The sequence below is a fragment of the Homo sapiens genome, chromosome 7 (assembly GCF_000001405.40).
Source record: "Homo sapiens chromosome 7, GRCh38.p14 Primary Assembly".
Classification (NCBI taxonomy): domain Eukaryota; kingdom Metazoa; phylum Chordata; class Mammalia; order Primates; family Hominidae; genus Homo; species Homo sapiens.
Genome location: NC_000007.14, coordinates 11,795,037 through 11,819,271, shown reverse-complemented (window position 1 = coordinate 11,819,271; position 24,235 = coordinate 11,795,037). Strand labels below are relative to the sequence as shown.

The 24,235-nt window shown below is 34.4% G+C and overlaps 1 protein-coding gene across 5 annotated transcripts in view; it reads left to right on the top strand.

Annotated features, from left to right (window-relative positions):
- Positions 1–24,235, top strand: part of THSD7A (thrombospondin type 1 domain containing 7A) — a 461,834-nt gene that overhangs the window by 12,927 nt on the left and 424,672 nt on the right. The window lies entirely within an intron of this gene.

The window sequence follows — 24,235 nt, the reverse complement described above, 5'->3', positions numbered from 1 at the left end:
TGCCAAACTGCCTTCCAAAGTGGCTGTTCCATTTTGCATTTCCACCAGCAGTGAATGAGAGTTCCTATTTCTCCACTCCTCACCAACTTTTGGTGCTTTTAGTATTTTTTATTTTAGCCATTCTAATGGATGCATATCTTGTTTCAATTTGCAGTTCCCTACTAACATGATGTTTCATCTGCTTGTCATCTTTTCATTTGCTTGTCATCTGCAGATATTCTTTGGTGATAGATCTGCATTCTTTTAATTGTAGGAGTAATAGTAGCAAGAGTAGGTAGCCAACTCTTAGCTGGCGGAGTTCAAAGTCTCAGTCCAGAGTGTGCTGCACATATTCCACTTTTTATTGTTCTGGTAGAATGACACATACTGAAGATAATTGTTCAATAATGAAAAAAAACCACATGGGAATTAAGTAAGGAATAAATGTAGATGGTCCTACACTTTGTTCCCTCTTGAGAGGAGTATCCTGGGCGTGATGAATGATATCCCAAAGTAGAAGGAAATAGGCAAATATAATAAAGATTAAGTTAAGCCTGCAAGCTGGTGAGATTTTCAAGTGTAATACATACCTCCTGTATCCCTAGCGGACTCTGGTATGGTTAATAAATCATGTAGCTGCATATCTACTTTTCCTTGCTTTGCACTGAGGAAGCCATTGTCTGGGAAAAAGTGGGAGATGCAACATTTTTCTGAACTTCTGGGAAACAGTGAAGGTCCACTGTGCTGAAGCCCTAGTAAGTTGACCTGGAAACCAAGCTGTTAAGTCAGCCTGCTACTTAGGTTGCTCCCATGACCTTCCCGTTGACACACATTGTTGAGCGCCCTCAGGAAGGAGACAGGTAAACAATGACCCAGAAGTGGATAGTTGGTGTGCGTAAGAATAGAAATATAGTACACTATTAACAGCCTAACGTAGAACAATACTGCTTGATGGAAAATTAAATTTCCCAAGCAAATGTATTGGACACAGACATTGATTATGTAGCTAAAATAGTTTAACTTATGGTATGTGGCCAATACAGGGCTTTCTAATTGTTCTGTGTAGTCTGTAGAAAATGTTTTCCCTTGGGCTATTATAGCGCTAGCAAATAACAGGACATTCTGAGTATTGTAGATGGATGTGTTTGTAGGTATGTTCTCTATTGCACCAGAGAAGAAGTGGTATCAGAACACAAATGGTGACTATTTGATTTGCACTATTTAAAAGTCATTTTTATTTTCTCTACAAAAATCAGAGTGTGACTATAAACGTTACAGAGGTCCACTGTATTCAGGGATTTCCAGATTAGTTGCAAAGAATTGAATGCATAGCTTGGAATGAAAGAAGCACCTAATCAATAACTAGTTAAATAAATATATGTTTGTGTGCATTTGCCTGTGTGTGTGTGTAGTCAGTAAAAAGATGTTTAAGAACAGACTTCTGAGCCAGAAGTGCATGAATTTTGACCTAATTTTGTTATTTATTAGGAATATGATTTCTAATCTCTGTCTTTTATTTTGTAGCTATACCATGTGATATGATATTAGTAACTACCTCTACAGATTATTTAAAGATAGCTTGAGATAAATCTACAGTGTACTTAGATGGTGCCTGGCACAAGTAACTGCTCAGTAAATGTTATCCCTTACTTGGCTATAATCCTAGTGTGAACTGCTCACTGGTACAGAATTTGTCTCCTGAATCTATCTGTGTCCTTTCCTTTTTTACTTTGATTCCTCTTCCTCCTTGGATCTGCATATGAATGTCAAGCTTCTCTGCATCTGACATTGCTCTGTTCTCTACCTCTGGTCAGAGTCAACAGTGTAATTACAAAGCTCAGCCTTACTGTAAGGTTGTTCAAAGTATGGTTTTTAAATGCAGAGACATTCTGCCCCAGTGTTTTGTTTTTACTTGTGATTGTGCATATCTTAGCCATGCAGGCAATGCTGGAGGTTGGAGTCTCTAAGTGGGACTGTGGGTTCCAAAGTTCCTTTGCTTGTAAAACCCGAGATTATTCTTGGCAAGACTTTCCTGCTCGGTGATGCTGTGAATGAAAGGATGTTGGAAGTATACGATGAGTGATCAGACTTCCTTTCTTAAACTCCTCTCCTGAAATGCATTATGTGTGTGTGTGTGATATATGAATATCCTACTTTCACATGTCAATATACGTGGTTCAAAATCTTCTGAAGGAAATGAAAATGTTGTCTACCAGCTTGAAAGAGAGACAGCTATTCAACTATTTCATGTCCATTACAACCCATTTATTTGTACATTCTTTAAAATTTGTGTAGCACTTGTAAACTTCTGACAGAATCACAATAATAATTTGATGCACCATTATAAGCATAATCACACATGTATACATGTCTGCATATCTAGATGCATGCATATATATACAGGCACATGCAAATAATGCAATCATATATGGCTTAATTATCACACAGGACTTCATAATTTTACCTGATATTAAGAAAATTATACCTCCTAAAATATGGTTTTATGTGGTATTTATAGTAGTGACTTTTAAAAATGTGTGCAATTATACACTTTTTTCACTAAAATATTATACAAAATTTATATTAAGATTTTATTTTACAAAGTTTTGTGCCAAGCTTATGTTCCTCAATAACCCACTCATAAAAGCTATTATAAAAGTCCTTGCATTACTTTCCACTAAGTTATCGCTTTTTATTTTAAGACCCTTTTTATGTCTAACCATCTTCCTGTGTTTGCCACTCTGGTGCCTGTACAATGTTTTCAAACTGCAATGCTTGCACAAATTTCCAAGAAGTACTTTTCTAGTAGCATCTACCTGCCAGCATATCCATGAACACTATTTCTCTAAAACATTACTTGTGAATAGTTTCCATTGATTATGACATCATTGAGGCAGGAATGGTAACAGACCCAGATGGAATAATGTGGATTACATGTATCTGTATAAAAACATACATTGCATTGCATAACGATTTTAGGGGACTCCATTCACAGTCTGAATTAAGTGACCTTTTATTCCCCAGTTTGTGTTAATCAAATTCAACTGAGGAAAATTGGCAGGCACTTAGTACCTATTTTATGGCAAGGTCTGTGTGTCAGGTGCAGGGGAACAAACATGAATAGCATGGAGTTCTCTATCCTGTGTAAATAAACTATTTGAGGCTAGTGAACTTATTACAAAAATAGAAACATATATGGATGTAAAATGGAGGAGGGAGTAATTCTCTTGCAAAATGAGACAGGGAAGGAAAACTTTCATAAGACACAAGTTTGAAAGATAAGCAGTTTACACAATGGAGAAAGGCTATAGAGAGACAGAATTCCAGGCAGAGAAGGAACAGTTGTGAAGAAATTAAATGGCATGTTTCCAGGGATAGAAAGAAGTTTGGAGTAACAAAAAGTAGGAAATAATTTGGGGTGGGAAGAAGGGTGGGTATGAGTTTGGAGAAGAAGGGAATGGATGGATGACACAGTCTTTTCATAATAATAAGTTTATTTGCTGTTTTCTGATTCATAGAATCTAGGAGATCAAGTCATTTGGGTTTATAAAATATTGCCAGGAATGAAAGAATATATTTGTAAATGTTAAGTCAGATGTGAATATATGAGTTTTATATGATTGTTCATCTAAATGAACTATTATAATTCTCCTTGCAAACTTTCCAAGAGAAATGCTATCTTAGGTAGTGCTAATTAAATGCAGTAACTTCAATAGCGTAGCATCCTTTCAGGTTTATTAATAAGAATGATGTAATATTTTATTTTTTCCTCTGCAGTTTTGACTAAAGTAATATTAAAATAAGTAAAGCTTAAATATATGTACATATATTTATATGTACAGGTATAGAACTCATCCCTGATGAGTTCCGTGAAAGGGAATACAAATGAGGGGAGTAGATGAGGCATGATATAAAGGCTGGCTATACTGATCTCTTCTCTGCTGTGGACTACCTGGTTAAGAGAAGTAATACCACTCCCTTACCCTGCTGCAGGTCCATCACTTGCAATCAGAGACAAGGTTCAACTAAAAACAAAAAAATCTCATAAAGGACAATACCGTTGGCTGACTGCAACATCTAGTGGGCCAAAATTGGACTATGGGGCATTGATTGACAACCTTTGCCTTTGACAATCATATCAGGTCTTCAAAAATATGAAGCTTAAAAATGGAGGGTAGAAAAGATTTTTAAAAGATTCTTTTTTTTTTTGAGTTTTAGGGAATGGCTACATGAAAGTATATGTAACAACAAATTCAAATTAAAGTGTCTGAGCAACCATGTTTCCAGCCAACATCAACATTTCTCTATGCACTGTGCTTCATTTGTTCCCATTAGTTCATGGGCCCTGTGGAGAGAGGAGTAATCAGGATTAAGGCATCTGCTGCTCATGAGCTGGCACAGATAATCACAGAAATGCAGCAAAGATCAGAAGATCCAATCACTCTTATCAAACAGCTTCTTTTGAGAGTTTGCTGTGGTGACTACATACCTCTAATGGGAGAGTCATCAAAATGGATTTGGATTTATGAAATCAAATAATTCATAAGGAGAGCTTTGACTGCTGCTAAGATACATTTCTCTCCCTGTCTCTTACTGCAATATTTAATGTAATTTCTTTAGTTCTCTTGGCTCATTGTATAAGAGAACTGGTTTTGAACTGCTTCAGCTGTGCAAGTTCCACAAGAAGAGAATAAATACTATGAAGCAGACAAGGTGGTCCTTCAACCTTGGTTGATCAAGCACTGCAGAATCATGAAAGTCATGATTTCCCAAATCATGATGAAAGTTTTCAGAGCTTTCAAGATCATTCTTCTTGAGGTAATTTTCTACCCTGATAGCATCGTCTAAAAGCTAAATTATTTTGAGTATTTTATGAAAAATGTGGAAATTAGAGTGAAAATTACTTTTGTGCCATGTTATTATAAATGAGATGAATCTCCTTTGTTTGTCACGTGCTGAATACTTGGGATTGCCATCACAGAGCCATTCTTTTAACAGCTTTATTTGATAGAATGCACGTAGCATGCAATCACCCATTTAAAGCATACAATTCAATGGCTTTTAGCATATCCACAGACTTGTGCATCCATTACCACAATCAATTCAAGAACATTTTCATTACCCCAAGAAGAAATCCTGCATCCCTGAGCCATCAGCCCAGGTCCCGGGCAAATACCAATCTACTTTTTCTCTATTCGCCTAGTCTGGACCTTTCATATGAATGGCATCATAACTTGCGTGATCTTTTGTGACTAGCACCTTTTATTTCGCATCATGTTTTCAAAGTCCATCCATGTTTTACATGTATTAGAATTCCACTGGATAAATACACTGCCTTTGTTTATTCCTCAGCTGATAGACATTTGGGTTGTTCCTACCTTTTGGCTATTATGAATCATGCTACTATGAACATTGATGTACAAGTTTTAGTGTGGATATGTATTTTCATTTCTTGAATATATACTTAGGAGTTACATTGCTGGATCTTATGGTAACTGTATTTTTAATTGCTTGAGAAACTGCCAAACTGAGCCTTATTATTATTATTATTATTATTATTATTATTATTATTATTATTTTGAGATGGAGTCTTGCTCTGTCGCCCAGGCTAGAGTGCGGTGGTGCTATCTCGGCTCACTGCAACCTCTGCCTCCTGGGTTCAAGTGATTCCCCTGCCTCAGCTTCCCAAGTAGCTGGGACTACAGGCGTGTGCCACCATGCCCAGTTAATTTTTTGTAATTTTAGTAGAGACAGCGTTTCACCATGTTGGCCAGGATGGTCTGGATCTCCTGACCTCGTGATCCGCCTGCCTTGGCCTCAGAAAGTGCTGAGATTACAGGTGTGAGTCACCACTCCCAGTTGAGCCATGTTTTTTAAACCCAGCACAGCATAATACATACTATGTTTTTTGTGAATTTCGGTTATGATATAATTGTCATTTAAAAACATGTAATTAGAAGATAAGTAATTAAAAATATAGGAAAGTGTTTTAGGGGACCTAATTCATAAGAATAAAAGTGCATTTAGGAAGAAAATCTGCTGAAATAATCATGAACACACTTAGTAGGATGCCAACAAGTTTTTAATCTGATCGCATAGTGAAGTCTTCAATAAAGAAAAAAATAAAGTAGTTGGGATGGCAGAGCTCTCATGACTTATCACTTGTATTTTAAAGTTGCAGAGAAATCTAAATTATACCAATAAAAACTTTCAATGCTAACCTGTTTTGGAAGTTGCCTACATCGTTTTCACAGCTTAGTGGATGGAATAACAATACTTCCTTGTATTCTTATGGTACTCTATAATTCCCCAAGCACTCATGCATACATGTTCTTTTACTAAATTCTCACGATTTCTTCATTAATAATAAATTCTCCTTTCATGAAAGAATAAACTCAGGTACCTGAAGTTAAGTGATTTAACCCAAACCACACTCTTAGTTTAAAACCAGCAGCCAGGACATATATCGTGGTGTCTGTTGATGTTATGATATACCTAAAAATGAAATTTTCTATAAAGTCCTTTAAAGTATGCTTCAATATTTTGATTGAAGAAGCCAAGGTCAGGGAAAATACTCTCCAGTTATGTGAAGAATAAGTCTCCAAGACTTAAATTAGCATTATATGGTATAAATAATAGGTGATAACTGAAGTTTGCATTTAATATTTTCACACAAGCACAGGGAGATAGAGTAAATGATTACAGACGTGTTTTGAAAAATATTTTGTCTATGTGATATGTTGACTGATCACTTTACCATGTTCTTGAGATTTTACCATTTTCTCTTACAGTTTCCTTCACTTTTGTGACGTAAATGATAACGTATTTTATCTAAACAATCCGTTGCCCTATAATTAAATATAAGTATATTCCCATATTGTTTCATGATGCAATGTATCTTATTTAAAAGCATAAAGTGCTGCTTCAAGCTATAACTAAATATTCAGTTTCAGTATATTTACATTTTAAAATTCATTTTGTAAAGGGTTATATAGATTTTTACTGTGAATTTTCTTGAAAGTAAATAACGCAGGAGTTTAAATTGAACACCACACAACAAAACTTTCTAAATCTTCTTCATCTGTGTGTCTCCCAAAAAACCTGACAGGGGCACTCTCTCTCCCTCTCCCCATATCTCTCTCTCTGTCTCCCACACACACACACACACACACACACACACACACACAATTTTCTTTTCTTCTCCTTTATAGTCTCAGATTTCTCTCACTGTCTCTACAAATGTCTCTCATTATGCTCAGTGGTTCTTTTCTCTCCCACCTCCCTTGTCTGACCACCTGTGTTGTGTTTTGATACAATATTGCAGTATACTTTTAATTTCAGGAAAGCTTTTTCAAGTATATAAACTGATGTAATTTCATGAATAGGCATATTATCAACAATAGAAAATGCTGACTTTCACTGTGTCCTTTAAAGGGAGAATTGCATTCCAGCTGTAGTTTTCCTTTTCTTTTCTTCCCAGAAAGAATCCAAGTGAAAACCTGCAAGCATCATTATATTTGTCCACAGGCAGCTAAGCTGATATATTTAGTGTGCACTGCTGTATGGGATACAGCTGTGAAATGAGCTAAAATTTATTATTGCAGGTAAAAGAACTAGTATAAATATATTCAAATGAAATCCTTTGCAAGCATTACAGTAAATAGGCTTTGGAAACGTTCTCATTCTGTCTCGTGTACTTTAAAAATGACTTTTCTGAAGATACTACATATCTTAGGGCATATGATGAAGGAGATGAAAATTAGGACTGTCAGTATTCAGGGATTTATACAGTAGGTTTCTTTTACCACTAGTGCAATAGGATTTTTAACTTGAATTCATATATATGTTTGGTTCTTCCTAAATCTCGGGCCAATGTAAAAAAGTCTCTTGAGGAGGAAGAAAACTAGCTACTCCTAAATGCATCATGAGCACGCAAAGCATTTTACTCCTTAAGTATAAAAATAGCAATTTTAACCCAGAGGAAAACTTGAAATATTCTTTCTTTGTTGAAGGTCTTTACATAACTTGTGTACAGTGCATGGCATTGTTTCGTGTGTGTGTGTGTGCTTGATAATTCTGTCGGTTAATGTGCATAGGAAATTTGTTTTCTTAATCAAAGTCTGGTTAATGGACAAAAGAGACATTACACACAAATCACCAAGTTTTAAAATATTGTAAACTAATAAAATATCCTTAACATTAACATCATATGCCACATAATTTAATCTGCAGCTTATTGTGTTGCAGAAATGTCTTCAGAAGTTTGAAGTTCAGCATCTTCATTTTGAATAAAAATGTATTGCTGTAACAGAACAATGAGGAAATTCTGGGAAAAAATTTTAGTTGGCAGAAGGCTGAATTAAACCTGATTTGAGGAGTCTTTAGTCTTCCTAATTTAATTGTGTGCTTTTAAGGGATATTTAAATGTTTCAAAATTTTTCTGAATGGTTTTCTACATTTGAAAATGTATGGAGACTCTTACCATTCTACTCACATCCACATTTCTGAAAGTTGAAATTAAACCACCCTAGGGCTGAGCTAATATCATCAATAATTTTGCCTACATGTCCATGTGTATGGTGTTTCTCCTATTATTTGTTACATCATATTAAGGCATCTGGAATGGAAAGTTAAATCTGAGGTGAAGACAAAGTGTTGGCTATTTCTTCTTTCTAGCAAAGTTATTCTCCCCATTTCCACATTTTGATCTATTACAAATATAACAGTAACAGCAGCATTGGGGTGGTGCCCTCTAAGCCCCTTTATTTACTGCACAAACATTTTACTGAACTTTAGCTATGGGGAAGTATAGACATGTATGAGCTCATAATCTTTCAAGGAGATGTAGACATAGCAATTGTAATCAGTGTAATCGGGGCTATCAGTGAAGGGGAGTGACCAGCTTATCTGAGCTGGAGATGGGCAAGGAAGGGCCAAGAAAAGCCTGATATTTACATTTGTACTGGCCTCCAAAGGATGTGCAAAACTCTGAGAGGTGAGAGATGAAGGGACATCACATGGCGAAGGCACAGAGACAGCTATCTGAAAGGTTTACACTCTGAATAGCTCGCTCTCTACCCATGAAACCGTAGGACAGCTCCCTGCTGGTGCTCTCAACAACATCAGGGATTCTTATCAGTTTTACCTCTTGTTCTTTCTAAATCTGCCAGCTGTATGCTAAGAGCTAGTTTCTACCTGGTCTTGATTTCCTTGATCAGTCTCTTATAATGTCTCCATAGGATTGTCTGCTTGAGTTCCAAATGTTGATTTGTTCCTATCCCATACTTTTTCATGTCCCTCAGTTTCATGCCATTTGACCAAATGGTTAGTTTGTTTAACTTTCTTATACAGCCCATTGTTCTAGAACCACTACCTTCAACTTGAGCCCCAAAATATAGAATAAAATCAAATATTAGATACAATTCTCAGCTCTATTTATCTTGAGCCACGTATGACACCATTTATGCTTTGGTACATATAAGACTCAACTGTGGGCCTTAGCAGGAAAACCAATGAACATTTGTATGTAAGAAATATGTTGTTAGTATATACGTTAGGCCTAGAAATTAAGCAAGTAAGCTAGTTCCAAAATTACTTAAAATAATTCCTTTGAGTTTAGAAAGTGCTTTAGCTCTGGCTTGCCTAAGATACAATAATGCTTACTGAAATATTTACCATAGTTAATTCTTATTGCTCCTCTTCACAAAAAAAATAAAATTTCATACATTCCAAAGCCTGTGACCATAAGGCTATGAAAATCTTCCTGCAATAAGTGAACTATGCTTTTGTATACACTCATGGGAAACCACACAAAAAAAGAAAGGTCCTTGTGAGGAGTAAAATGTAATATCATCTTTGAAGTGCCTGATAGATAAGCAACAGACAGCCACAACTATAATAGTAGAAGATTACAGAATCCAAAAATTACTCTCCTGTCAAGAATCAGTTCAAATACCACTTGCTCTATGAAGCTCTTGTGATCCTCCTCCCTGACTTATGTCAGCACTTTAACAACAATACTCTATTTTCATTTTCACCTGTGCATTCAGTGTGTGCCTCCACCAAATTACTGGTAATGATTTTGGGTACTTTATTGTTTAAGTATCTCTCTTACCCTTATCATTTAAATGTGGACTTCTTGAGGCAAAAGCTGTCTTAGTCATCTTTGTTAACTCAACATGTATTATATACTAGGTATCAGTACATGGTTGATGAATGAATAAATTACTTAAACTTAATTTAGCTTAAATAATTTTATATCATGTTTTTCACTTCATAATACTCATGATGATTTTCTTATTTTACAAAATATTCCCAGAAATTTTGATATATTTTAATGGTATGTATTTCTACTATATGTATGGTTTAAGTATTTAATATTCATTTAATACTGGCTATTTAGGTCATTACCTTTTTTATTATGAAATTATACTGTAAATGATATTCTTGTAGGTATATATTTTTTGCCCATCTCTGAGTTATTCCTTATGGTGCATTCCTTAAAATTCAGTCCTTTAGTTAAAAGGATGAATGAATATTTTTAAGATTCTTGATACAGATTGTCAAATTATTATAGTTTATACATGTACTAGTAAAGAATAAAGACCCTAGTTTACATGACCAAACCGGGCATAACAGTTTTAAAACCTTTGCTAACACAACAAATCTCAAGCCATCTATCTCAGTATTATTAATTTTTAAAAAGTATCTTTTAAATATGATAGAAAACCTATATTTTTTCATTTTGGTATATAGTTGTGCCTTAATTCATTTTGTGCTGCTATAACAGAATACCCAATACTGGGTAATTTATAAAGAACAGACAATTTATTTCTCACAATTCTGGAGGCTGGGAAGTCAAAGACCAAGGTGTTGGCAGGTTCGTTTGTCTGGTGAGGGCTGCACTCTCTGAAGGTGAGGGATGCTGTGTCCTCACACGGTGGAAGGTGAAAGGACAAGAAAGAGCAGACCTCTCTGTGGACCTCTTTTATGAGGGCCTTAATCCCATTCACCAGGGAGAAGTCCTCATGAGCCTAATCACCTCTTAAAGGCCCCACATTTTAATATTGTCACATTGGCAACAACTTAATTTTGGAAGGGACACATTCAAACCATAGCAGTGTGTGTGTGTGTGTGTGGTCTCTTTCTAAACTGCCCTGCAGAAGTTGGCACCCTGGCGTAATCAGAACAGCTTAGGATGGAGGAGACTTTCACAGAGTTGTGTATGGAAAAATGTATAGATGGGTGGTGCAGTGAGAGGCCCTCTGGGGTACTTGGGACCAGGAAACAATGGGGAGCATAGAAGACAGGTACGGGAGTGAGTTTCAGTATTGCTCTGACAGTGTTTTGTTTGTTGGGTGTCATTTATTTTGGTATTACTTAATTTAGAATTATTGGTTCTTACTGAGGTCTGAGAAAATAGTCTTAGAAAGTTAGCTTTTCAGGAGACCAACATTTTTGGCAAAAACAAGTGAATTTAAGCTAATGTATTTTAGTTGTAGCAAAATATTATTGATTTAAAACTTAGGTCAGGTGATCTTTTACAGAGTATATGAGGCTAAGCTTTAGGTGTTATAAATCTTTTCATGAAAAATAAAAAGTATACTGCATTAATTTCAGCCATTAATTAGTGCTATTAATAATTCAAGTCACTTCTAAAATGATTTATTCAAAATAAGTTTGGGACTTGGGTAGACTAAAAATTACATTATTTAATGTTATTCTAATTTGGTTTACTGTTATGTAAATCTTCAAATGAAAAAGTTGATAAAATCAATAATTTGTTTTATAATTTTACTTTATTTTATATATTCTTTCCATATCATCTGTAAGAAAGCAGGGTTTTACTTGATTAATACTACAAAAATAATTATAGTCCCTCTTAATACCCCAAATAAGTAGTATATTTGGGAATACTTTCCTTTCTCAAACACTTACTTCAGGGTGTTATTGCTACCAGTAGCTAACAGCCAGTTTGAAATATTGACGCAAATAAATTTCCACCTTGATCATTTGCACACCCAGTCCCTCACAGGTTTTAGTACTAGGTTTGTATCATGTGATCCCTATGGCATCTACCCATATGGCTGCCCCCAATTACCACGTGCAGTGGAGAAGGGCTAAGGAATACACAGATTCTACACAACTTCCTTAGGAAATGCACTGTTTGTTTAAAACACTTCAGAGTAAAAAAGTACTTAGTAGTGATCACTTGGGTCCATGTCATAATGTCAACACCAAATATTAAATAAGACAAGTGAGAGAGAAAGAAGAAGAAAGAGATATATATATATATATTTAGAGAGAGAGAGATTGATTTCAGTCTACAAAAGTAAAAATGCTGCCTTCAGTATTTTGTGCAAATGAGAAATTATACTTGAGGTCTGAGGTTAGCAGTGGAGAGAAAGACCTAAAGATCTAAGATGAGGAACTTAGAAGGCCTAAAAGGCACACTTTAGCAGCAGAGGGGAATGCTTGGGGCTAGCACTTGCTTATTCTTAACTGTGTACTGGGCACCTTTCCTCCAGCTTTGGCTCACTACCCAGTGTCCATGAACCTTTTCTACCTGCTTTCCCTCAGGTTCTGAACAATGCTCTGTTTTTCTGAAATTACCAGTAACAAGTGGATCATCTAAGAACTGCTGGACAAAACATTGATCTATTTTAATAAAGGATATTTTTCATTCAAGTTTCATTTAGAAACATCCCTTAGCTCAGGCAGTGTAAATGTGTAGATGTCACCTGCAGCATTGCCTGAAATACTCCTGCCTTTTTATTTATCTAAAAATATATATTGTATCCCCACAACCACTTTTAAGCTCTGTAGACTAAAGCTGAAGTCCCTGCTTATAACCCTTAATGTATTTCCTTTTTACCATCTTTTTGGGAAGCTGAACTCTATAGTCCAAGGTCTAAAAGTTCTTTATTTTGTACATTGAAATCAATTTAGGGAGTTATCTTTATTTAAATATTTTTATTCTTCCTGAAAATAAAGAAAATGTGTATGTGGAATTTAATTGCATAAATTGAGGTTTGAGCACAATGAAAAATCAATGTTTTAAAAACATGGAGTGGAGCTGCAGTTCCTGACCTGCATGGTGCTTGTTAACCCTCAGAGGAAGACTTACGTGAATTATTCAGCTGATCATAGGGTGTTAAGTAGATTCTAATTTGTTTACAAAAATTAAATGTGCTTTAGCAACCAAAGAGAAAACCTGAAAAGATAAGCATTGTAGGTCAAAAAACTGTGACAATTAGAACTACTTTTGTTAATGAAGGTCAAAATAAAAATAAAGAATCTGTCACTGAATAGTTTTCCCTTTTGTACTTGCAAACATCTGAGATCCTTTAGTAAGGCAAGTATAATTTACAATATCCTTTTCTCAAAACAAGTTATCCATTAGTTACAGTCAAAACACGTGAAATATTGAGACATATATATGTATATAAAATAACTGAGCCATATTTTAAAAATATTTTGGCATTTTAAATGTTGAATGTAAGTAACTATAAAAACACTTCTGAATAGAAATGTTGTGGTTTTTGATGTTTAAAAAATGTTTAAAATTGCATGTATTTGTAAATTTGTCTTAAAGTTGAAATCACGTATTTCTTTTACATTAAAAGATACTAGTTGACATTTTAAAACCATATAATGATATGTGAATGAATAAAAATTATCAATAAATCCCTTCATCTGTGCAATATATAAGGAAATTATATTCTTTTAAGAAGCTTTAGAGAAGTGTGAAAGAATGTTACAGAAGAATTATTCTCTATTTTTCTCTGTTATTCTTTATTTTAAAGAGCAATTAGAATATTATTCATAATATAGAGACCACTAAAATCTGTGTAGATTTTTGTGTATATGAGTTTTTGTCTGAGAACATTACATTAACAAGATATAGAATTACAGCCACAACTAAAATATCAAGTAGATATACTTTTATTGGGTAAACAATAATTAATGTATAATGTTTCTATTAGTATTTTGACAGCCATGGGATTGGTCAGTAGGATACAGAAAAGAGATAGTCCCATTTCCTTCAACTCTCCTTTGGAATGAGAAGAAGTATAAATATATTATTGCAGTGGGAACATGAATGCTTCAAGAAGGCTTCAGTAGTAAACAAGAGGAGGAAGTTTGGATGTATGGACCAAAAGCTGGGTACTCAGGGACACAGTAGAGGCTCAGGCAGGTGGATATATGGTGACAACTCTAGACATAATGACTACAATATCGGCCCTAGATTAATTGTAAGCTTCCATAGGGCACCAATGCAAGGTTTCAGCTCTTTACCAAATTCTCAGAATTGGTAGAAAATATGAGGGTTCATGAATGATGAACGAGGAAAAATATCCATTACCAGGATGAATGCTGATGCTTTATAGAGATCCTCTATTACTTTTCCAACATACCAGTTAAATGGTCTTAGAACCAAGCGGGGCTAGGCCTGCACATGGGGACCGAGAGGCCGCAGATGTGAGGACTGAACAGTACCAAGCAACTCATTAAGCAAACAATGGAAGTGTTTAAAATTCAGTCACAATATTTAAAGCATTAAAGGTGGCATAAGCCTGGTTTACATTTCCTTTGAGGAAGAGAGAAATGTAATGCCTTAATCATTAGCTAGGAATAGAAAGTCACATGATTTCATAAGAATATGATTTATCAGCCATAAACAGGTTGGTCAATGTAACCCATGCAGATTGGAACACTGTATATAGCACTTTGTGTATCACTTTTAACAAATCTCCAAAAACATTTCAAGCAACTGAAATTTCAGTTATGTTGAATTGAAATTTAGGTTATTTTTTAACGTCTATTTGTATCAAGAAGTGTGTTCTTTTTGTTGTTGTTTATAGAAAACTGATAACTTCGAAACTCATCACAAATCTAGAAAATGCAAATCATGTGTTTTCTGGAAAATAGGAAATAAATTCACTATCTTTCTCTTAATACTTAGCATTACATATTTTAATCAGAGAACTCACAGTAAGAGAACTCTAATTACTAATGTAATGCTATGTCTAAAGATTTTACTTAAAAGGAAGGAATACATAAACATTTATTTTAAATCCTCATTTTATCAATTGGAATAAAAATGAGTGATAATGACAAAAAATTCTATTAATGATAGGTAGTCTTTAATGGCAAGGCAAAAGATATGTTGTAAAAATCACTAAATCTAAAATTCATTTAGATTTCTGAAATATAAAATATAAACCAAAATAATTTTAATAACATCCATTACTTCTAATTGCCTCCTGGACAACATAATTTAATTATCTTATGATAATTCAAAATACAAATACATACAAAACTGTATTTGTCATCTTTCAGTACATAACTAGATTAATTAATCTAATATATTGTAATGTATACTGTGTGATGTGTGATAGAGCACTGGTTTTTATCCTTGGCTACGCATTAGATTTACTGAGGAAGTTCTAGAAAGTACTGATATCCAGACCCCACCTCACCTAGAACAATTAGATTGTCTTGGAATGGACCTGACATTGATATATTTTTCTAAAAGCTCATCAGGTGATTCTACAATATAGCGGCAGTTGAGAAACAATACATAGAATTAAAGATTCCGCTGTTACCATAGTTTATGTTAACAGGGATTCTTATCTAGCATAGCCAAGTAGGAAATAAGGAGCCTCAATAGCATCTATTTATCCGTCACCATAAATGAGTATATCTGTGCCCAAAGCAAAATGCTGATATTTAAGCAGACATAATCTAGTATTTCTTTCTCCTTTTCTCCTCTCTCTCAATCTCATAGCTCTTACTCTTCCTTGATGTCTAACTCTCCTTCTACTAATTGTGGAGAGTCTTTTAGCTTCATTTCTACCCTAAAACCCATTTATGCCAAAATGGAGAAAATAAGCATAAATTTTGAAGCAGAACTTATGGGATTTCCACTTTTGGGTCTATTACTTGATACATCACATGTGACTTTGCTTACATTGTTAATTTTTCTAAGCCTCACTTTTCTCCACTATAAAATATTGATCAAAAGTCCTAATGTAAAATATAGAGACAATTAAAGATAAAATACTCAGCCTGTCTGGTCACCCAAACAAAACAGGCATTTATAGTAACCCCAAGGCCCATGAACATGCTGCTGCCTGTTGAAAAAGTCCCACCTTCACCCTCTTAACTCCTCTTCTTCCTTTAGATTTCTCAGGAAAACATTTACTGTCCTCTCCCTACCAAATTATCTTATTACATATGCCCTTGGCTCCATCCACCTCTCCTTTTCTAGATTTATCACAGATGTTATTTAATATATGTATGATCACAGATGTTATTTAATATATGTATGGTTATTTGACTAGTATCTATATTCTTTCCAAGAGTCTAAGATCTCTAAAGGAAGAAATGTTATGTCTAGATTTTCTCATTATTGTTTTTTGATAACATAGCACGGAACTTCACACATTTTAGGATGCAGATACTAGTTAAATCTGCATGGATGGATTGAAGGATGGAAGACTGAATATATATTAGTGGAAATATTTAACAAACATTTAGTAAGTGTTAATGTTATACATCAAGGAATTTAAAACATATAGACACAGAATTTTATAAATTAGTTACTTCCATATCCTCACTTTAATCATAAAAATGTTAACTAACTTGCTTAAAAACACACAGATTAGAAAGAGCAGAACCAGAATATATAACTTATTTTCTGGCCCACTCTTAACTCAACCTCTGTCTCTCTATCCTTCTCTGTTATTTATTCTGATTATTTTTAAATCTAAATGAGCTGATTCCCCAGGATCCAGAGACCTTTCTTACCATGTCCCTCCTTGGCTTCCCTACAGTTTAGTGATCACACATTCAAAATCTCAGGTCTGCAGTCTCAAGGCCTTCAACACACAGATGTTGTTTCTCAAACTTTTGTCTGCATCAGAATCACATGAGAAAATAATAAAAATGCATATCTCCTTTCCTTACACCAAAAGATTTTAATTAAATAGTATAGTAGGGTGGGCCAGGTATATGCATGTATATGAAATTCACAATGATAATGCAGGGGTCAAACCTACATCTATGCTGGAGGAATTTAAACCCTAGGAACCTTGATTTGGAAAGGAGATGGATTTTGAATGATTTCCTAAGTATGGAGCAAGGGAATAATTAAGTTGAAAATTTCTCATACTCTAAAACCAGGAAATTTCAGCCTTGAGAAAATTGTCAGCCTTGTGACGGAAGTTTTGTGGTTAGAAATTGTTACATCCTACACAATAGGCAGAAAAGCTGTCAATATAAATAACCTTTAACATCATATTGAAATACTTACTCTGAAATGAAATATATTCACATTGTAAAAAATAATAGTAAAATAATTTATGTCAACTGATTTAATGTTATTCCTGATAACTATGCAGTGTGAGAATATGCCTAAATGTTCTTAAATATGTGTTACTTTAATTTTGTGGTAAGCTTTGCCTGACTGGAACAGTACATAGAGTTTTAAAATGTATTACTCTTCAACAAATTAGAAAAACATGATTACGACATACAGATTTTTTGTCATTGTTTTTGTTGTTGTTTGGCTTTACTTTCAAGCTACTCATTTTCCACATCTAAACAAAATGTATTCTTTTTTTTCCAGTTCTTTTGGAAAACCTTTTATAAATTTGAAGTTATATGTGTTAATATTTTATATGCTAATTTAAAATTTTAACTTAATAATATAGACTACAGCACTATAGAATCCACGATATTTTGAGGGGTTCTGGAACTTTTGAACTCATATGCACCAGGGTTAAAATTTTGTTTCTGGCACTTTCTAACGTTGTTACCTTGGACAAGTTTCTTAGGCCCTCTATGCTTCAATTCACTTATCCATACTTCGCACATGCTTTGTCAGCATTAGATTAAGTAATGTATGTAAAAGACTTACTTTGGTCCTTAGAAAAGAGTAGTTCTCAGTTAACAAAAAAAGGAAGAAAGACAGAGAGAGAGAAAGACAGGAAGAAAGGAAGGAAGGAAGGAAATTATGAGGCAGTATAAACACCTAGTATTACATCCAGCAACATAACTTCTTTTTATTTTTTAGCTTTATTGTGTTATAACTAATATGCAAATGGCACACATTTAATACATACATCTTGTTTTCATTAAAAAAAAATTTTTTTTGAAATGGGGTCTCCTTGTTGCCGAGGCTGGTCTTGAATTCCTGGGCCCAAGAGATCCTCCCACCTCAGCCTCCCAAAGTGCTAGGATTACAGGCGTGAGCCATCACATCTGGCCAATACATATGTCTTAATGAGTTTGGACATATATGTTTACCCTTGATACCATCACTTTGACCAAGATGCAAAATATATTCAGCACCTCCAGAAATTTCTTTGTGTTCTTTGTGTGTGTGTGTATGTGTGTGTTGTAAGAACACTTAACATGAGATCTATCCTCTTTTATTAACGTGCACAACACTGCATTGTTAACTATAGGTACTATGTTGTAGAGAAGAGCTCTAGGACTTACTCATCTTGCATAATAGAAACTTTATACTCATCGAAAAACAATTCTCCATTTCCCTCTCCCCTCAGCCCCTGGCAACCAAAATTCTATTCTCTGCTTCTATGAATTTGACTACTTTAGATACCTTGTATAAATGGAATCATACAGTAAATGCCCTCTGAGGCTGGCTTATTTCACTTAGCATAATGTCCAATATGTACATCCATGTTATTACAAATACGATATTTTTTTTCTTTTTTGAGATGGGGTTTCGTTCTTGTTGCCCAGGCTAGAGTGCAACAGCACAATCCTGGCTGGCTGCAACCTCTGCCTCCCGAGTTCAACCGATTCTCCTGCCTCAGCCTCCCGAATAGCTGGGATTACAGGCGCCCATCACCACACCCGGCTAATTTTTGTATTTTTAGTGGAGACAGGGTTTCACCATGTTGGCCAGTCTGGTCTCAAACTCCTGACCTCAGGCGATCTTCTCACCTCGGCCTCCAAAAGTGCTGGGATTACAGGTGTGAGCCACCGCGCCTGGCTCAAATAGGATGTTTTTAAAGACTGAATAGTGTTTCGTTATGTTTCACAACCCAAATGTCCATGGACAGCAGCGTAACTTTTTGAACTGTTGTAGGACAAGGGGCTTCTCTAGACTCCTGCAGTCTTCCCTCTAGGCTGGTCTCAAGTGCTCGACTCCTCTCCTCCTGGATTTCTGCACCTTCTTCCTGTGATCTCAGTGCACATAGTGAAGCCAGCGCCTTACACTCTCCTGGTTCAGTTAACCACCTTTTAAGGGTTTTCCTATCTCAAAGAAAGAACAGAAGAGCCTTGTTCTATGTTATTTTTAAATGTGTGCGCTACAGTAGCAAAATCTACAATTTGGTTGCTAATTAATAGTGTAATCTTGAGCTTCAATAATCAAAACAAGTGAACTGGATTTTTCTGTCTAATCACATGCAGACCTAAACTCTCTCATTCTGTAATGTCTTCTCATATAACAAAATTCTTCCTATATTGTGCCAATTTGATCTAGCTTTGTGTAGCTTTGTGTATGATAATCATTAAGCAAAAAACAAATTGTGTCAATATGCATAGGAACTATTAGTATGAGAGAAAAAACCCAAAATATGCTTATTTCTTTTGCTGTCAATAAACAATACAGTTGACTGCTTTAGGATGACACTGAGGAATGTGATCTAAGGAATAAGTGAATTTATACCATAGGCATATTTATTTAAGAAGATTGATGAAAACTCTGAGAATAAAAAAATTACTTTCTAATAAGATACATTTTTATTCTTGTTATACATGATTTAATAGGTTTATTAAATGAGCATTAATATTTTACTAATGTGGTTTTGAAGTAATATGATTTAGAATGTGATGTAGTCTAAAAATCATTATAAATCAAAATCCTTATGATTTACATATTAAGTCATTACAAATAAAAAGAACATCAGTGCTAAAGAAGTTTCTCCACTGGAAGATAAAGCACTTATTTGTGCCAATCCGTATGCTTTTACTAAGTATTCTTGCAGCTAAAACAGTGATTCTTTCTTGGTGATTTTAATCATAAAAGTTGGTAAGGCCGGGCGCGGTGGCTCATGCCTCTAATCCCAGCACTTTGAGAGGCCAAGGCGGGTGGATCATGAGGTCAAGAGATCGAGACCATCCTGGCCAACATGGTGAAACCCCATCTCTACCAAAAATACAAAAATTATCTGGGTGTGGTGGTGTGAGCCTGTAGTCCCAGCTAATCAGGAGTCTGAAGCGGGAGAATCACTTGAACCCGGGAGGCAGAGGTTGTAGTGAGCCAAGATTGGGCCACTGAACTCCAGCCTGGTGACAGAGTGAGACTCTGTCTCAAAAAAAAAAAGAGTTGTTCAACTAAATTCTCAACTTTAAACCAAAATACATATACTAAATAGATAAATAGGCAGGAAAAAATGATTTTTAAATTACTTGCTAAAATGTTTAGTAGCCCACCTTTATAGAGTACTGTTTTCTAAAAAATATGAATGTATCTAATATATCTGCATGGTGTCATTTTTGATTTGCAAAAATAAATAATTTAAAAAGATCATCTGAATCATCAGTTAGATACCAACTTTACCAATTAACAGCATAAAAGTATGTTCACATTTTTCAGTTCTAATCTCATGTGTGTTAAAAGTATTTCATTAAAAAATGACAATATTGTTCAAATCACCTAAATAATAGTGACACAGGTGTCCTCAATTTGTGAGCATTCTTCAGACACATGTTTTGTACAATTTTTATTTGCATATTTCTTTCTCTTTTTTTTTTTGTTTTTTCTTTTTTTGTTTTGTTTTTTGGAGATAGCGTCTCACTCTGTCGCCCAGGCTAGAGTGCGATGATGTAATCTCAGCTCACTGCAACCTACGCTCCCCATGTTCAAGCAATTCTCCTGCCTCAGCCTCCCGAGTATCTAGGATTACAGACATGTACCACCATGCCTGGGTATTTTTTTGTATTTTTAGTGGAGATGGGGTTTCACCATGTTGGCCAGGCTGGTCTTGAACTCTTGACCTCAAGTGATCCTCCCACCTCGGCCTCCCAAATTGCGTATTTATTTCTATCAAAAGTTAATAAGTACCAGATAAATGTATGATAGTAGTAAGAAGATAAAATTAGTGCTAATAATCATGCTGTCTTCTGTCTTAATGGAACAAAGATGGTTAGGTGAATCCTATACAACTTGCAATCCTACTGTGCATTAATTCTGATCAGTGCCTTTGCCCTGCCTTGACTTTCTATCTTCATGTTGCTCACAATGTCTATATTTCAGATTTTTTAAAGTGAAATTCGAGATGGCTGAGAAATTTTCTCTGACAAGTTATTTAAAATATTATTAATCTCTTAAGCGATATCCTAAATTAAATGCAACTAGATGACTCTGTATTAATTAAGTCAAACATTAAATAAGACTAAAATAGTTATTTTCCAAGGCCATTAATGGGAGTGATGTCTGGCTGAGAATGATGTCAGATTTTTATTTAGAAATTAATTTAGCATGCTAATGAGTATGAAATTCCACAAGCATCTCTTATTAGAAAATGAAAATCAAGACTGGGCACAGTGGCACAAGCCTGTAATCCCAATACTTTAGGAGGCCGAGGTGGGAGGATTGCTTAAGGCCAGAAGTTTGAGACCATCCTGGACAACATAGTGAGGTTCTGTCTCTACAAGAATATTAAAAAAATTAGTCAGACATGGTGATGTGCATCTGTAGTCCCAGTTACTCAGGAGGCTGAGGTGGGAGGATTACTTAAACCTAGGAGGTCAAGGCTACAGTGAGCCAAGATTGTGCCACTGCACTCCAGCGTGGGTTACAGAACACGACCCTGTCTGAAAAAAAAAAAAAAAAAAAAAAGAGAGAGGCAGAAAGAAAGCAAAGAAGGCAGGAAGGAAAGAAGGAAAGAGGGAGGGAGGGAAGGAAAGAAAATTAAAATTAAGAAAGCAAAATGAGTAATGTGGAAATTAGATTGTCATAAATAACACATGGCTTAAATGTGTTATCCATAATTAACAACAGCATTATGAAATATGATACCAGATAAATTTGAAAGCAAACTTTTGTATTTCTGTTAGAGGACAGAAGGTAAGAAAATAAACATAAAATACATATTTGGGGGATATACACATATATATTTCACTAGTCAATGAATTGTTTTGATTGGCATAAAGTTTCAAATATGAGAATTCCCAGGATGTCTGGGGAGTTTAACCATAGTGTTTCCCCAAATAATGTTATCTATTAGTTGTCTGCTTTTAGGGATTTTTCAGACATTCAAGTCAAATCAGAAATGAAAAAAAATTACCTGCCACACATTAAAATTGTTATTCACATTTAAATACTTTAGCGGAAATTCCACAGTGCTATTTTAGTATACACTTTAAACCTTATTACAGATATAATGATTGTACAAGACCTAACATAGGATAGTAAATGACTAACATAGTATAGAAAAATGACTGTACAAAACCTAACATAGTATAAAAAACATTAACATTAATGAGAAAGTTTGATAAGTACCTGGGTGTAAGATAAATATACAAATTAATAGTTGTTATTTTGAAGTAACTGTGTAAACATAGAAAAGAAAAATTACTTTTCCCATTATCTATAAAATAACAATAGTAATAAACGTGAAATACTTAGAGATAATCTTACAAGAGAAAAGGAAGACCTAAATGAAAAAAAAACACACATTTTATTGAAAACATCAAACAAAGACTGCATAAAGTAAATAGCAAAATATGCTGTATTCTGGATGGAAATTTTAATATTAGAAAAATAAAAATTCTTTTCAAATTAATATGAAAGTGTGATGAAATTGCAATTACAATAGCAATGGATTTCTGTCGAGAGCTGTACAAAATTATTTTGAAGTTTATGTGCGGAGTACATACAAAAGAAATGCCAGTATCCTTTTTTTTTCAAAGTGGATGGACATTTCTTACCAGATATTAAAATTTAATGGATATGATTTTAGGTAAAACAGTAAATTTTGTCACAAGAATAGAAATATAGAAATATATATCAGTAGAAAGGGTCTAGAATTATATACAAATATATATTAAAGCAATATACACATGAAACTCATATGATTCAAAGCCTAGAACACACGAGACGATGAAGATTAATCAATGCTTCCTAAGTGTCTACATCGTTACACTTTTGTAGTATAGATCATTACTGATCCAAATATATATATATATATATATATATATATATATATATATATATATGGCTAATTTAATTTCAAAGAAGTACCAAAAATACATGTTTTAGCACAGTTACAGGAAACAGCTTAAGCATAATTGGGAGCATTACAATTTATAATGATTAAAACTTCATTTTAAAATAATTGATTTGTTGACTTTATATATAATATTGAAGTTGATGAATTTTTGCTTAGTTGTTTGCTGACTCCTCGCTTGGATCTTCCTTGATCCCATATTTTTGCTCCTGTCTTTTCCCAAATATCACATTTCCCAGGGCCTCTTCCTCCAGCAGCTCATTGAACACTCACCTCTTATTTTCAGTTTTTTTGCTTTCTATCATTTTCAGGAAGCAGAAGCGTAAGGGAGCAGAGAACCCTCTGACATATGTATATTTATTTGTAAATTTTATATGCAAGTTATTCTGTAATAGAATATATGTTTGAATTATAAGTAAATATCTTTATTTCAATCATACATTGTAAAACATAAAACTAGGGACTAATACAACATAATGAATGCGACCTACAAATTGTACTAGATTTTGAAGTTTGTTTTCGTCATGTCATTCCCGGGAAAGTGACTAAAGGCCATCTGTTATTTGTAAAACATCAATTTAATTGTGTGATTTCCTACAAATAGGATACCATCATCTTTTGACACTATCCTATCATAAATCATAAATGGCTTGCTGATACCAGTAGGGGTAGAGCTCGGGGTTATAAGAATATTACTGTAACTCTTTATATTTTAATATTATTTTTTCTCTCTAAAATGACAAGAATTATGTGCATGCTTGTGTGTGTATGTGTGCACACATGTTTGTATATGTGTACAAATGTATGTTTTTAATTTTGGGATGCTAATTTCACTTAGAATGCTGTAATTTTTTGAAACAGAAAGATCTCTCTCAAATCTTTTATAAAACTCGGTTAAAGACAAACAAAAACCCCTGTGACGTTCTGTTAAAATATAATATATTTAAAAAACAACTCACCTGTAAGTCCTCTAACTTTTAGATAGA